Raw genomic sequence first — 15,082 nt, 5'->3', positions numbered from 1 at the left:
CACTCCCTTCTCTTTTTAGTAAAAGAACCAATGGCTTGTAGGTGGGCACACGGCCTCCCAGGATAAAGACCTTTCCCAGACTCCCCAGATGTGAGGTTGGGTGTGTGCTGAGTTCCTGCTGCTGGGTTGAGAAAAGGTGATGAGTGACACCTGTCTTCCGCCTTTAAGGAGAAAGGGTATGACCACCGCCTCTCTTTCCCACTTCTTGCTGGCTGGAGTGGAGATCTCATTGGCCACGCAGGTTACAGTAACACTTTCATGGACCTAACAGGTCAAGAATAAGGTGAATTCTTGAGGTCCTTAGTATAACATCAGATGAAGCTCCTCTAGCAAATCCACCGAGCGAGAGTGGTCAATTCCATTCACAAGATGAAGACAGAGCTGCCCAACAGGTGCCATTTTAGCTTCTACAAAGGACCCAAGCCCGGGAAAGGACAGCTCTCCCCTCTGTATCCCAGCAATGCTTTAACAAGGAAGAGAGACTCTGCTTCCAAATGACATCCAAGGCCTAAGATGCAGTGCCCAGGGCATAGAGGTGAAGAGCGCCCACAGAGCTCAGGTGTGGTGCAGATGGAGGTGGGGCATCCAAATCCACAGGTCTGTGCAAGGTGAGTGCACAGCAGAAAGGGCACAGGGGTGTGGGTAGAGAGGGCACCAAGAGGAGTTCTAGAAAGTACAAAAAGGGAGGCCGGGAGTGAGGCAGACTTAAAGTCTCCTTGGCAGTTGTATCTAGGGGGCTCCCCACACCCTCCTGCCGCACCTGCCAATGAAGTCCAGCTAAAGAGAAATCCAAAGCCAGCTTAGGGAGCACAGACGTGAGGCTGAAGGGAAATAGGAGGCTTTAGGGTTCTCTGGGGAAATTGAACTTGCTGCTGTTTCTCTAAGAGTTCTTCTCACATGCGCTCCTGCAGAATAGGCTCTTTAGGACCTCACTGGCCTTGTTTTTCTGGGTGAGGAAAGGCCAAGGTGGGAGGCTAGGATGCATTTTTATTAGGAGCACGCAGGCTGCTGATGGAGGCTGTGGAATCCACAGCTAAACCCTCGCATCTATATCTCATCATATGGACAAGCGAACTGTGCCTAGCTCAGGGGTAGGAAGAGGGTGAGGAGACATATTTATTTCATCTCTCTCTCTTCCCTCGGCAGCAAGCCATTTTTCTTTTCTTTCTTTCCTTTCTTTTCTCCCTTTCCCTTTCTTTCTTTCTCTCTCTCTCTCTCTCTCTCCTTCCTTCCTTCCTTCCTTTTTTTGAGATGGAGTCTCGATCTATCATCCAGGCTGGAGTGCAGTGGCACAATCTCGGCTCACTGCAACCTCTGCCTCCCAGGTTCAAGTGATTCTCCTGCCTCAGCCTTCTGAGTAGCTAGGATTACAGGCACCCGCCACCACACCCAGCTAATTTCTGTATTTTTAGTAGAGACGGGGTTTCACCATGTTGGCCAGGCTGGTCTCAAACTCCTGACCTCGGGTGATCCACCCGCCTGGGCCTCCCAAAGTGCTGGGATTACAGGCGTGAGCCACCGCACCCAGCTGGCAGCAGAGCCATTTCTAAATGGCCAGAAGTCAAAGGCAGCCACGATGTGGAACTAGCACGACTAAGATTTCTCCTTCTCTTGCTGTTAAAGCAGTCCCCTGCCACTTCCACACTTTGGTGATTTTCTTAGTACTTGCTGTTTCATTGCACCATCGGAGGCAGGTTGGACACATTGGGAGCCTCCTGTTGCCTGGATTTTCTTTTAGGAACTCGGTATCCCAGAATTCAAAACTTGTGTTTTCTTTAAGACAGAATGTAAAGTTATAAACTCCCTCCAAAAGCAGAACATAAAATGTTCCTGAGTTTTTATCTGCAGGAGAGATGGCGGAGCCCTTGCTTGAAGCAGGAGGATCACAGGAAGCCTTCTCTTTTCTACAGGTTCTAAGCTTCCGGGTCTACTGAGCCCTGCCGGTTACTATTTTGTGGTCTTTCCCAAGGCCAGTGTTGTGCAGAGGCTCAGTGGAAGCAAGGCCATCGGGTCCAATGCCATGCTCAGTCTGCGAATTCAACTACTGCGGAAGGCCGTGGGGCACACAGCTGCCTGGAGTAGGCATGGAACATCAGAAGCCTCTTCCCAAGATGCCTCCATGGATACTTCTTGCCATTATTTGTGGTTAGGGGTTATTCATGCCCTTTCTCTATGAAGTCACTGATGTCTCAGTATAATTTACTTCACAGAGACTGACGCCTTGGTGAGTGTGGCACACTGTATTTTCCAAAACTAGCCTCAGTGCTACTTCCAGGGCGTGAGACTCCCCAAAGAAGAGGTGATTCTTTGCTCCTTGAACCAGGGCAGTGTTTTGAATGAAGAGAATGTGGCAGAAAGTGATGGCTTGTGAGACTAGGTCATAAAGGGTGTGTTATAGTTCAGATGTGTGTCCCTGTCTGAATCTCATGTTGAATTGTCATTCTGATACTAGAGTCGGGGCCAGGTGGGAGCCACTGAATCATGGGGTTGGATTTCTCACAAATGGTTTAGCACCATCTACTCCGTGCTGTCCTCATGATAGTGAGCGGCTTCTCATGAGATCTGACTGTTTGGGACATGGATGAAGCTGGAAACCATCATTCTGAGCAAACTATCGCAAGGACAGAAAACCAAACACTGCATGTTCTCACTCATAGGTGGGAATTGAACAATGAGGACACTTGGACACAGGGTGGGGAACATCACACACCAGGGCCTGTCATGGGGTGGGGGAAGGGGATGACAGCATTAGGAGATATACCTAATGTAAATGACGAGTTAATGGGTGCAGCACACCAACATGGCACATGTATACCTATGTAACAAACCCTAGAACTTAAAGTATAATAAAAAATAAAAATAAAATAAAACCTTGAAAAAAAAAAGTGTGGTGCCTCCCTCACCCCTACTCACTCCCTCTCACTCCTGCTCCCACCACGTGATGCACCTGCTCCCCATTGGCCTTCTGCCGTGACTGGAAGCTTCCTGAGGCCTCTCCAGAAGCAGATGCCTCTATGCTTCCTGCACAGTCTGCAGAACTGGGAGCCAATTAAACCTCTTTTCTTTCTAAATTACCCAGTCTCGGGGATTTCTTTATCGCAATGCAAGAACGGCCTCACACAGGGTGGTATGGCTTTCCCCTGGCTCTCTCTTGCTTGGGTCACTCACTCTGAACACCACCTTCTATGTGGTGAGCAAGCCCTGGTCAGATGGAGAGGCCACATTTGGTGTCCTGGCTGACACAGAGCAGGCCTCATCTAGCAGCCAGCGTCAGCCATGGACGCGTGAGTGAGCAAGACCTGCCCCTAGACTGTTCAGTCCCTTCTGGTCACCCCAGTTGGTGCAGAGCAGAGGAGGAAAGAGCTATGCCCAGTTTATAGACTTGCAGTTTTATGCCATTGTATTTTAGATCGCTGAGCTCAAATTTAGTTTCAAAAAAGTTTTGAGCTGGGTGCGGTGGCTCACACCTATAATCTCAGCACTTCGGGAGGCCAAGGTGGGTGGATCACTTAAGGTCAAGAGTTTGAGACCAGCCTGGTCAACATGGTGAAACCCTGTCTCTACTAAAAATACAAAAATTAGCCGGGCATGGTGGCAGGCGCCTGTAGTCCCAGCTATCCGGGAGGCTGAGGCAGGAGAATCGCTTGAACCAGGGAAGCGGAGGTTGCAGTGAGTCGAGATTGCACCATTGCACTCAAGCCTGGGCGACACAGCAAGACTGTCTCAAAAAAAAAAAAACAAAAGTTTTGAAAGAGGAAGGCTGAGCCAGTATGCCAGGCTCCTTTACCCTTCTTTTTGTTTTGTCTTCTCTCTTTCCTCTTCATTTGTGTTGTGGGCACCTGAGGGAGCTTCCAGAACTTCTGGGCCTGATGTCTTCTGCTCACCTGCCTCACGCTCAAACAGGTCCCAGTGTGGCAAGGATGTTCTCGTTTCTCACTCATTTGTTAATCGACTGGGTCATCCACCCACTCAGTTGCTCAAGAGACAAGAAATAAGCAAGCATCCTAATAATGAAACAATGCCTCAAAGAGTTAAAGAAACGAATGGCTAACAGAAGTTCTTGAGCTCGCAGAATGGCAGACAAGAATAGAAACAACCTGCTGAAACACTGACGCTCCCTCCGCCCCGAGATAAGAGAACTGGCTGAAGTCTGTCAGAACCAAGTTGGTCAACTGGGGTCTGTGCAGAATGAGCTTGCTGATGTCATGGACTGAATTTCCTCCACCCCACCCCCCTGAATTTGCACACACAGCCCATGAGTAATCGTGAAGAAATAATTGTGTGTGCTGAAGGACTTTCCAAACCTCCCCGTTCCTTCCACCAATCACCTGCTAATCCCAGAATCCGCCTGCTGAATCCTTTTCCTTTAAAAATAAAATTACTGCCTTGAAGCCAGCACAGGGAGGCAGAGTTGAGCTGGATGCCTGTCTCCTTGGGAATAGACTTTTTTTTGTTTTGAGACAGAATCTCGCTCTGTCACCTAGGCTGGAGTGCAATGGCATGATTTCTGCTCACTGCAACCTCTGCCTGCTGGGTTCAAGTGATTCTTCTGCCTCGGCCTCCCGAGTAGCTGGGACTACAGGTGTGCACCACCATGCCCAGCTAATTTTTTATATTTTTAGTAGAGATGGGGTTTCACCATATTGGCCTGGATGGTCTTGAACTCCTGACCTCGTGATCCGCCCTCCTTGGCCTCCCAAGGCCATGAGCCACCACGCCCAGCTGGGAATAGACTTTTAATATAAAGCTTTTCTTTTCTGAAAATCCTGGTGTCACCGTATTGGCATCTAGTGCACAGGCAGCGAGCCCCTTCTGCAACCCCATGGATTGGAGACACGCTATCTGGCTGGACACAGAGAGGGGCCTTACAGGGAATTGGAGGAACAGAATGGATGTCTTCTGGCCTGCGCACTGTGGAACAATGCTGGAGGTTTGAATTCAAGCTTATTTTTGAAGTAGGGGGTCCCATCTTGGGCCTCCCCTGGAATTCAGACAAGAGCTAAAGGCTGTGCTAAGAGCCGGATTTGCATAAGGCTCAGGGAGAGGGAAGCGGAAGGAAAGACCGCACAGTGGCCTCTGCCTGGCCTCGAGAGTCCAGCCCGTGGGTGGTCCCCTTCCGTCCTATTGCCGCTGCCCCTTGTGCTTTAGGCACAAGAGACAGGCTGCTCCTGGGAGAACGTCCCCGTGCTCTTGAGTTGTGTGATTGAGAAGCCTCACTGCTCACCCTCCTTCTCCCTTCCCTACTGTTAATTGCCTGCTGATGTGAAGGAGGCATTTAAAGTACAAGTGGCTCCTCTTCGGGGAGGATAATCAAGTGACAAGCAAACATGTGAAGACTGGGGAAGCAGTGAGCCGGAGTGCACACTTCTGGAGAGTCTGCGGGAAATTGCTGTGGAATGGGAGCATCCCTGCGGGGTGGTGGCGAGGGGTGAATTCGCACCAGGGGGCTGGAGAAGCTGGGTCTCAGAGCTTCTCCCCTTCATGGGCCTTTGCTTCCATTCACAATCTTCTGTCCTTTTTCTAAAGAGGATCCCCCAAATTTCATAGACTCTAGGCCCCTCAAAATTGGGATCTGCCCTAGTAAAGAGAAGAGCAACTTTGAGAGGAAAATCCATAGACAAACGCCTGGGTCCCACCTGCTGCTTATAGAGGCTGCGTGCTCTCACGGGAAGGACGCAAACAGGCGGTGGGACCCAGGCTCCAGCTCTGGTCCCACCTCTCTGGGCTGCCTTTCTTCTACTGTAAAATGAGGGGTTGGCTTAGGTCACTTGTTTTTCAAACTCTGTGAATATAAGCATCCCTTCTTACAAACAAAACAAAACAAACAAACAAACAAACAAAAACCTGCAGTTATCAGTTTAATTCAGTTCTAAACATTCAATGTCTTTTTTAAAATAATCTGTATTTTGGCCAGGTGCAGTGGCTCACACCTGTAATCTCAGCACTTTGGGAGGCTGAGGAGAGCAGATCACTTAAGGTCAGGAGTTTGAGACCAGCCTGGTCAACATGGTGAAACCCCGTCTCTACTAAAAATACAAAAATTAGCTGGACGTGGCGGTGCATGCCTGTAATCCCAGCTACTCAGGAGGCTGAGGCAGGAGAATCGCTTGAACCTGGGAGGTGAAGATTTCAGTGAGTCGAGATTGAGCCACTGCACTCCAGCCTGGGCAACAGAGCGAGACTCTGTCTCAAAAAAAAAAAAAAAATCTGTATTTCCTTCATCACAGTCTGAAAAGATTTCAATGTAATGGGACATACAAGGCATGTGGTCCTACACAGAACCAGGTGTGGCCATGAACTTGCGGGCCTTCTGAGGCAGCTCCACGGCCTGTTTCCCGGCCCTGACTGACACACCGACTCAGCCTTGTTAGAGAGATTCTAGAATGTCTGCCACCTGACAGAACTCCATGCTGTTTCCTAAGCTCTTCAAAGTAACTGCCAACTACAGTTCCCAGGACAGGGCACAGGCAAGAACATGTCTGCAAGAGGCAGTGTTTGCCCACCTGAAGGGGGAGTGGATTCAGTGAAGACGGAAGGTGCGTGTGCCCAAAAGGCAGAGCTGCCAGGAGGCCGTGCGTGGCGGGAGAGGGCGGCGGGGAGAGGGCGGGGGGGAGAGCGCGGCACTTGGTTGGGGCCACTCAGGCACCCCCTCCTTGGGCTGGCCTCCGACCTCCCTGAGCCACTTCCTGGTCTGCACCCCTTCTTCCTCACAGAGCTGAGGTGACCAGCAGATGACACTTGGGCCCTCTGCCAACCTGTGAAGGCCTGAACACCCCTGTGGTAACAGGGATTATCCTGAACTCTTGTTGAACGTGCCCCTCCCGTGTGCCGGAGATTTTCCATCCTAGTGCCTGCGCTCACCACGACTATGCCAGTGCTGTGAGGCAGACTCTCCAGAGGATAGATAAGAGGCCAGGACACTGTCTTCAGCCATGAGGATCTCCCCAGCTAGGGAGGAAACATCTTACCGTGGATCAGGAAGCAGAAATCTGAGCAAAAATGGCTGTCATCCCACGCCCTCAGTGCAGACAGGCACCGTACGAAGGCCCTCTTATTGCAAAATGACTTGTGTAAAAATCATTCAAGACCAAGAGAAATCAATGACTATTGATCCCATCTTGGTTCTGCATTGTCTCCAAGTGAGGCAGGAGGGCTGCAGTGGGGGAGGAGAGGGAACTTTTCAGTGCACTGAACACCCACTGGGCAGTGGGCATCAGCTGGTGCATTTGCAGACACTTGCAGGGCCTCGCAGGGAGGGACCTGCACACCCATTGGAAAGGAGAAGAGGCTGGCCAGTTCCTCAGAGGATGTGAGGGATGGAGAAGGGGCTGCCCAGTTCCTCAGGGGATGTGAGGGATGGAGAAGGGGCTGCCCAGTTCCTCAGGGAACGTGAGGGATGGAGAAGGGGCTGGCAAGTTCCTCAGGGTACGTGAGGGATGGAGAAGGGGCTGGCCTGTTCCTCAGGAGACCTGAGGGATGGAGAAAGGGCTGGCCAGTTCTTCAGGGGCCGTGAGGGATGGAAAGAGGCTGGCCTGTTCCTCAGGGGCCGTGAAAGATGAAGAAGGGGCTGGCCTGTTCCTCAGGGGCCGTGAGGGATGGAGAAGGGGCTGGCTTGTTCCTCAGCAGATATAAAGGATGGAGAAGGGGCTGGCCTGTTCTTCAGGGGATGTGACGGGTGGAAAGGGGCTGGCCTGTTCCTCGGGGGCCGTGAGGGATGGAGAAGGGAACGACAGCTTTGATTGTGGCGGGCCTAATGCGCCTTCATTTTTCTCTCGTTGTTCTAGGAATATCTCGCGAGCTGAATCAAGTATCACAACAAGCTATCATCAGGTGGAGGCCAGGAAGGAGAATATGGACAAGGACCATCCTAGCAGGCTTCCTGGATGGGGAGGGGAGAGGAGATTGAGGATTAGGAAGTGGTGGGAACACAGCACCTTAAGGAGGTGGGATGGGTGGCAGGCAGCAGCATGGCCTCAGGAGCTAGACTTTCGAGGCTGAAATCCGGCCCTGCCCCCTACCAGCTGTGACCATGGGCAAGTGACCCAGCCCCTGGGTGCCTCAGTTTCCTCCTCTGTAAACAGGGATAGAAGCAGGCTGCCCTCATTGGGTTGTCGATGTGAGAGCTCTATTAACTATTATCCGTAAAATCGTCTACTATTGCCTGTAGTCTGCAGGTGTCATAAAACATTGATTATGACCATGGGGCTGCATGCCAGCCTCGGGGGCCTGGAGACGTATAGGCAGGGGCCCAACTGAGGGAGCAGAGGAAGCCGCAAGGGAAGATGAGCCCAGCACGAGATGATCCGAAAGCCAAGTGTGGGGCGCTGCCGAGCCTTCTGACCTGGGGCCTGGTGAGCCCAGGCCTCTGGACATCTCAGGGCTTCTACTGACAGAGTTACCTCACTATCATGGGAAACCTCTTCATTCATCACCCTCATTGTTCTGGGAAGTTGGAGAAGAGAAAAAGAGCAAACGGCTCACTCTTCCCTAGGGGGTTGGAGCAGATGACCGCTGTCCTGCCAGCAGCCACAGGCCTTGGGGCCAAGAAGGCTCATTGTTTTTTTCACTGCACGTTTTCTAAGCCCTCTGCAAAAAGCATATTTCCTCTGCAACACAACAACCCAACAGTCCCACTCAAGTCCTCGCCACTCTTCCTTTTCATAATAAAAAGACGTGGTGAGGACAGTATCATTACGAAGGGGGACCCAAGACACACGATGAAGACAGAGGCCACCTTGTCCTAACATTCCCGACCTGGGACGCGCCCCACTCCGACCTCTTCCAACCCAAGGGCTCGGCAACATCCTGACCTTTTCCTTCTTCCTATCAAGATTTACAGGGAAAATGTGTGTGTGGCTTTTATTTTTATTTTTGGAAGTAAGTTTTCTTATTGAATTCCAGTAAGACTTGGCAGCTTCCGGGTAAGTCCTCTTAGAAGGGTGGTGATGGTGATGGCCACACCCAGCAGTCGGTGAGCACCCAGCACACGCCAAGCCGGCTCTAACTGCGTAGATGGGTTAACTCATTTAATCCTCAACGCAATCACTCCAGGTAGACACTATTATTATCTTTATTTTTTCCCTTAAGGGAACTAAGGGAAAAAAAGTTTAAATAATGTGCCGAAGCTCACACAGCTAGTAAGTGAGAGATAACCCATGGGAAATACTGACAGAGACATTTCTGCACCTGCCTGTCTCCAGTCTCCTCACCTGTCTCCCATGACAACCCCAGTGTGCACCTGTGGGCTCTGAGCCTGTGCATGCTGGGCTGCTGGGGATGTCCGGGTCTCAAAACATCCTATCAAGTGACACTGTCTATAAGGCCCAGGGTCGGACAGGCAGGCAGCCTGTCATTCGTGTCCTGGTACTGACCAAAACATTGTTTTAAATTCAGCTCCTGACATGTGTTCAGTTTCTTTTTTTTTTTTTTTTAATTTATTTTACTTTAAGTTCTGGGATACATGTGCAGAACGTGCAGGTTTGTTACATAGGTATACATGTGCCGTGGTGGTTTGCTGCATCTATCAACCCGTCATCTAGGTTTTAAGCCCTGCATGCATTAGGTATTTGTCCTAATGCTCTCCCTCTTCTTTCCGCCCACCCACAGACAGGCCCTAGTGTATGATGTTCCCCTCCCTGGGTCCATGTGTTCTCATTGTTCAACTCCCACTTACGAGTGAGAATATGCAGTGTTTGGTTTTCTGTTCCTGTGTTTGTTTGCTGAGGATGATGGTTTCCAGCTTCATCCATGTCCCTGCAAAGGACATGAACTCATTCTTTTTTATGGCTGCATAGTATTCCATGGTGTATATGTGCCACATTTCCTGTATCCAGTCTATCATTGATGAGCATTTGGGTTGGTTCCGAGTCTTTGCTATTGTAAATAGTGCTGCAATAAACATACGTGTGCATGTGTCTTCACATGTTCAATTTCAAAAGGAATGTTCACAATTATACTGAGACTGACTTTGTTATTACTCATCTATACAGTGACTGGTTGAGTGTTTTAGGTAATATGGATTGTGAACCCTATCATCATTTTTAATTTCCTTAGTTTACATTTTTCTTCCTAGTATTTTGCCAAAACTGATCATTCTGTTAATATTCACCAGAAAGTTAAAAATAATTGAGATTGTGAAATTAGAATCCTAATTAGACAGTGACTTAACTACCAGCTGAGATTTACCAGAGTTTGGATTTTCCAAGGGTTTTAAAAAATGCTGACCTTATTTTGTCCTCATCTGAAAGTTAGAATTTTTTCGCCACAAAACAAAGTTATAGCCTTAAAATTACATGTAATATTTTTTACATAGTCTGGCTTTAGTTTTAAATTAAATGATGGAAAGAATTTTTCCTTTTATGATGCGCTGCAGAAAGCCTCATTATAATACACAGTTTCAACGAAAATCCTGAGCAATTGTCACCTTAATCGGACTGAGATATTCTGCACAAATATTTCCTAATCTCAACAAAAACACATTGAAAAATAATGGATATCAAAAACAATGTGGATCAGACAGGAAATTAGGTCTCCAGTTTTTTTTTTAAGGGGAAGGTTAATTAATTGTAAATTATAAGCAGTTTCTCTGCCCAACTATATCCGATGATTAATTATTCCTGGTTCTATTGTTCAAAGAACAAGAGCCGGCCTTTCAACTTGTGCAGGTGTGTCCTGACCCCAGGAAGCAGCTCAGGGCCTCTGTGTAGAGGAGAGGGATTCCTGTCCCCACAGGGGCATGGGCATCCTCCACAGTCACAGATGTCCGCATGCCGCTTCTTGGATGCGGATGGAGGGACAGCCTAGACGGAAGGCGGCTGGGCAAAACCCTGGGCTCAGGGCTGAGCCACTCCTGACCGCTCCTGTCCCTGCCCTTTTCCATCCTCAAAATTTCCCGGGTTACGGAACTAGCCTGAAGCAGAAGTCGCTGTGGGGACTGCATGATACTAAAGAGAATGAGGGTGTCGATTCCACACTGGCACGTGAGCTTCATCCTGCCCCACACCCAGATGGCCCCAGCTGGACAGCCTTCTCTCAAACACAGGCTGTGACCATGAATGGGAGAGGAGGAATGAGAGGTGGCGCTCGGGGAAATCCATGCCACTCCTTTCTTTCAAAAATCCACAGGTGGTCGCTGTCTCCTGTGGAGGATGATGGCTCCCCAGACCCAGTGCAGGTGCCCCTGCAAATCGGCATGTATCTGTGGGCCTCGTCACACACCCTGTGTCACCCTGGGTGTGTGGATGTGGTCACTGCTTTCGAGTAAATAATAGATTCGGAAGGGTCACCGGGCACCCTTTGTACCCCAGCGTATAATAGCACGTTGATCAATGAGTGACACCAGCTCCATGCACCACCCGTTTATTCCCTCATAGCTTTTGCAACCTGACAATTTAGCACCAAAGAAACTGTTTAGGAGACAATGTCAACTTTGTAGCCTGGGCAGGACCGCAGGAGGCAAGCGTGAAGGTCTCGGAAGAGAAGGGAATTAGACTGTGTCCAGTGGCCACACTTCCTGGAGGCCTCCCAGGTCCTTCAGGCATGATTAATCCCTCTGCGGCCAGAGCTATGTCCCCCAAGAAACACAACCCCAGCAGGAGGACAAACAGCCCCGCACAGGGCATGGCACACAGCAGGTGCTCAATAAATGGCTCAAGGGGAACAGAATCTAAGGTGGAAATCCCGTTCACTAGAGCCACACCCGTCCACCATGTCTTTCCCTTGGTCTTAACATGGCACTGGGTAGAACCCAACATTTACCCCTGGGCCAACAGCTGCAGCTCACCCCCAGAACCTTCTGGCTCTCTCTGACCAGTCTGTGCCATCCACATCCTAGAACAGAGCGGCCGCCACTGTAGGTCAGGGCTTTCCTCTTGGGCACGTCAGAGCTACAGCCTCCTGCGGTGGATAGTGTTCCTTAGATGTTAATGTCCCTAACCCAAGCCTTGAGGGAGAGACCCTGGATCCCAGAAGGGTGAGGCCTCCTTAGTACCTACAGGAAGACCAGGAGGCCAGCAGCCTCTCCAAGCTTCCTGGTTCCTGTACACTTACGTTCTTCCAGTGTGCAGATTCTAGATAGCTGCAGTATACAAAATGCAGAAGAGACTCCTGCTGTCAGGGAAGCAAGAGCCCAGGAGAGCCAGGGCAACATCTTTTTAAAACCAACTCTATCTTGAAACTAGCAAGGCCCGCTCCTTGCCAGTCACAGCCCATGGTCCTAAGATGTTTACAGCTAAGGAAGCAACTTGGTGATGCCTGCAAGGACAAAAACTCCTCCAACAACAGAAAGCCTTGATGTCCAGTACTGGTAACATTATCACTTTGGAGATAATTATAGTTATGCTTTGATGTACTTACACACTGAAATGTTAAGGATCCTTTTCTTTAAAACAATAGAATAATATACATTTTGTCATGCTGTCGGCTCCCCCACCCAAGCAGACACAGCTTAGTTCAGTCTTTACATAGACAAGGCCCCTATATGAGAAAAACAAAGATGGCGCATTCCTCCCTTTGCTTTCCAAGGACGCCCTGCTCTGTAACTGAGCAACTTTCAATAAACTCTGTCTTCTCATTGTACTCTGAGACTCACCTTGAACTCCTTCCTGCACAAGACCCAAGAACCCTCTCTTGGCATCTGGATCAGGATCCCTTTTTAGGGTGACACTGCTACCAGGACTTGCCCTGTCTCCAGCTCCTCCTTCCCCTCCCCCAGCATCATGCACATCCCAGAGGGACCCCCCACCGGCCATGCAGCCCTCCCACGTTGCTTCTTCCCTCTCAGAGGACGATGATGCTGTGGAAGTCCTATCCGTCCCTGCCTCGGGGGCGCTGCTCTAGGGAAGCACATGGGCCCGCGTCGATGTTCTGGACATGTGTCTGTCCTATCTGCCTGGTTAGTGGTGCAGCACTTAGGAGATGACGGAGATGACATGACCCTTTGAGTTTCATTTTCTTTTTTTTTTTTTTTTTTGAGACAGAGTCTCACTCTGTCACCCAGGCTGGAGTGCAGTGGCACGATCTCAGCTCATTGCAACCTCCACCTCCTGGGTTCAAGCGATTCTTCCACCTCAGCCTCTAGAGTAGTGGGGACAACAGACACCCACCACCACGCCCGACTAATTTTTTTTTTTTTTTGTATTTTTAGGAGAGACAGGGTTTTGCCATGTTGGCCAGGCTGGTCTCGAACTCCTGACCTCAGGTGATCGGCCCGCCTTGGTCTCCCAAAGTGCTGGGATTACAGGCATGAGCCATCGTGCCGGCCAGTTTTCCTTATCGATAGATATCGGCCTGTTTTCCTAACACATCTTTGGGCTTAGTAGGTGAAGCCACTCACCACCTGATCCCAGGCTGATAGGGAGACCACCAGGATAGACACCCACATCTCCTTTAAAGCTGCTGACAGCAGACATCATAAGAAGCTCCCCATCTCCAACCCAGCCCCCTAGTAAACAGGTTTCCTCCCAGCACATCCATCTGCCTAACACCTCCATGATTTTGGTGCTATGGTTCCTCACATTTTATACATGAGAGAGCAGAGGCACTGTGAGTACTTGCCCAACATTTTATAGTGATAAAGGGTGGATCCGGGATTCTGACCCAGATAGTTTTGCTCTGAAATCTACGTGCTCTCTTGCCTTGGAGATGTCACCACCCAGAGCCCCATCCCCTCAGCGCCTGTGCAGCCCTCACCTGAGCCGTCCTTCTCCTTACACCTGCAGCCTCCCACTGTGCCTCTTGAACCTGGGCCATCCTCGGCCCACTGCCTCGATTCCCAACTGCTTCTCCTGCCCTCTCGCTTTAACTCAAATCAGGCTCTCCTCTGGGACCACGCTTGCTCCAGCAGCGGCTTCTCTCCTTCCCACACGGCACGCTTGTCTCTCCGTGTTCCAAATGAAGGCATTCTATATCTGTTACTGGAGACTGGCTGGTGTGGGTAGGAAGCGTGGCGGAAGGGAAGAGGCAGAGAGGAGGAAGCCGACCCCCGCCACCCTTCAGCTCTGCCCGGTGCGGGACGCCCTCCCACTCTCCGTGAGCATCGCCCAGGGAGCGCCCCCGCCGTGGGAGGAGAAAAGAGTGTTTTGCCTTCCCACGCACTCAGTGCCTGGCTAAGTTTCTTTCCTGCCTTCCCTGTTTTCCGCACTACCCGCCGCTGGGAACCTCCACACTGTGGGATGTGGTTGCTACGGAGAAGCGGCCTGCTCCGGCACAGGCGGCCCTCACGGTGCACACGCTCTGAGCCTGGGCTCTTGCAGGACACAGGGTGGCTGTGTAGACATCATGTCTACACTTCAATAGGCTGCGACTCCCGCTTCTTGTCTTCTGGAGAGCGAGGGTGTTCATCTACGGATAGGTTCTGCCTGCTGCAGGCCTTTCAGATTGGATGGAGCCTTTCTCTGTAAAGACCCATGTCAGCGGCCATCCGTGTTTTTGACCATGACCCAGCATCACGGACACACACAGGCCAGGAGCAAGGGTGTGGGAAGCAGCTCTCCTTTGCACCTTCTCTATTGCACTCTGGTATTTTCCGTCCTATGCTTCCTCACACTCTCACAGTAAAGCCTCCATCCCTCTCTTTCCCGTCCTATGCTCTCTCACCCTCTCTCAGTAAAGCCTCCATCCCTCTCTTTCCCGTCCTATGCTCTCTCACCCTCGCTCAGTAAAGCCTCCATCCCTCTCTTTCCCATCCTATGCTCTCTCACCCTCTCTCAGTAATGCCCCATCCCTCTCTTTCCCGTCCTATGCTTCCTCACACTCTCACAGTAAAGCCTCCATCCCTCTCTTTCCCGTCCTATGCTCTCTCACCCTCTCTCAGTAAAGCCTCCATCCCTCTCTTTCCCGTCCTATGCTCTCTCACCCTCGCTCAGTAAAGCCTCCATCCCTCTCTTTCCCATCCTATGCTCTCTCATCCTCTCTCAGTAATGCCCCATCCCTCTCTTTCCCGTCCTATGCTTCCTCACACTCTCACAGTAAAGCCTCCATCCCTCTCTCTCCCGTCCTATGCTCCCTGACCATCTCTCAGTAAAGCCTCCATCCCTCTCTCTCCCGTCCTATGCTCTCTCACCCTCTCTCAGTAAAGCCTCCA

General features: G+C 50.6%; 1 protein-coding gene across 13 annotated transcripts in view, besides 1 other annotated feature; it reads right to left on the bottom strand.

Moving 5' to 3' along the window:
• DPP6 (dipeptidyl peptidase like 6) overlaps positions 1-15,082 on the bottom strand; it is a 1,146,153-nt gene that overhangs the window by 129,706 nt on the left and 1,001,365 nt on the right. The window lies entirely within an intron of this gene.
• Positions 14,253-14,438: a silencer, noted in NCBI's record as "fragment chr7:154541852-154542037 (GRCh37/hg19 assembly coordinates)". NCBI's record gives its function as "represses an EF-1alpha promoter that drives an FKBP-Casp9 reporter gene in an ReSE screen in K562 erythroleukemia cells {active_cell/tissue: K562}" and the evidence as "EXISTENCE:reporter gene assay evidence [ECO:0000049][PMID:32094911]".

Source organism: Homo sapiens, chromosome 7, assembly GCF_000001405.40.
Source record: "Homo sapiens chromosome 7, GRCh38.p14 Primary Assembly".
NCBI classification, from domain to species: Eukaryota; Metazoa; Chordata; class Mammalia; order Primates; family Hominidae; genus Homo; species Homo sapiens.
The sequence above is the reverse complement of the archived record's forward strand: the minus strand, read 5'-3'. Positions and strand labels throughout refer to the sequence as shown.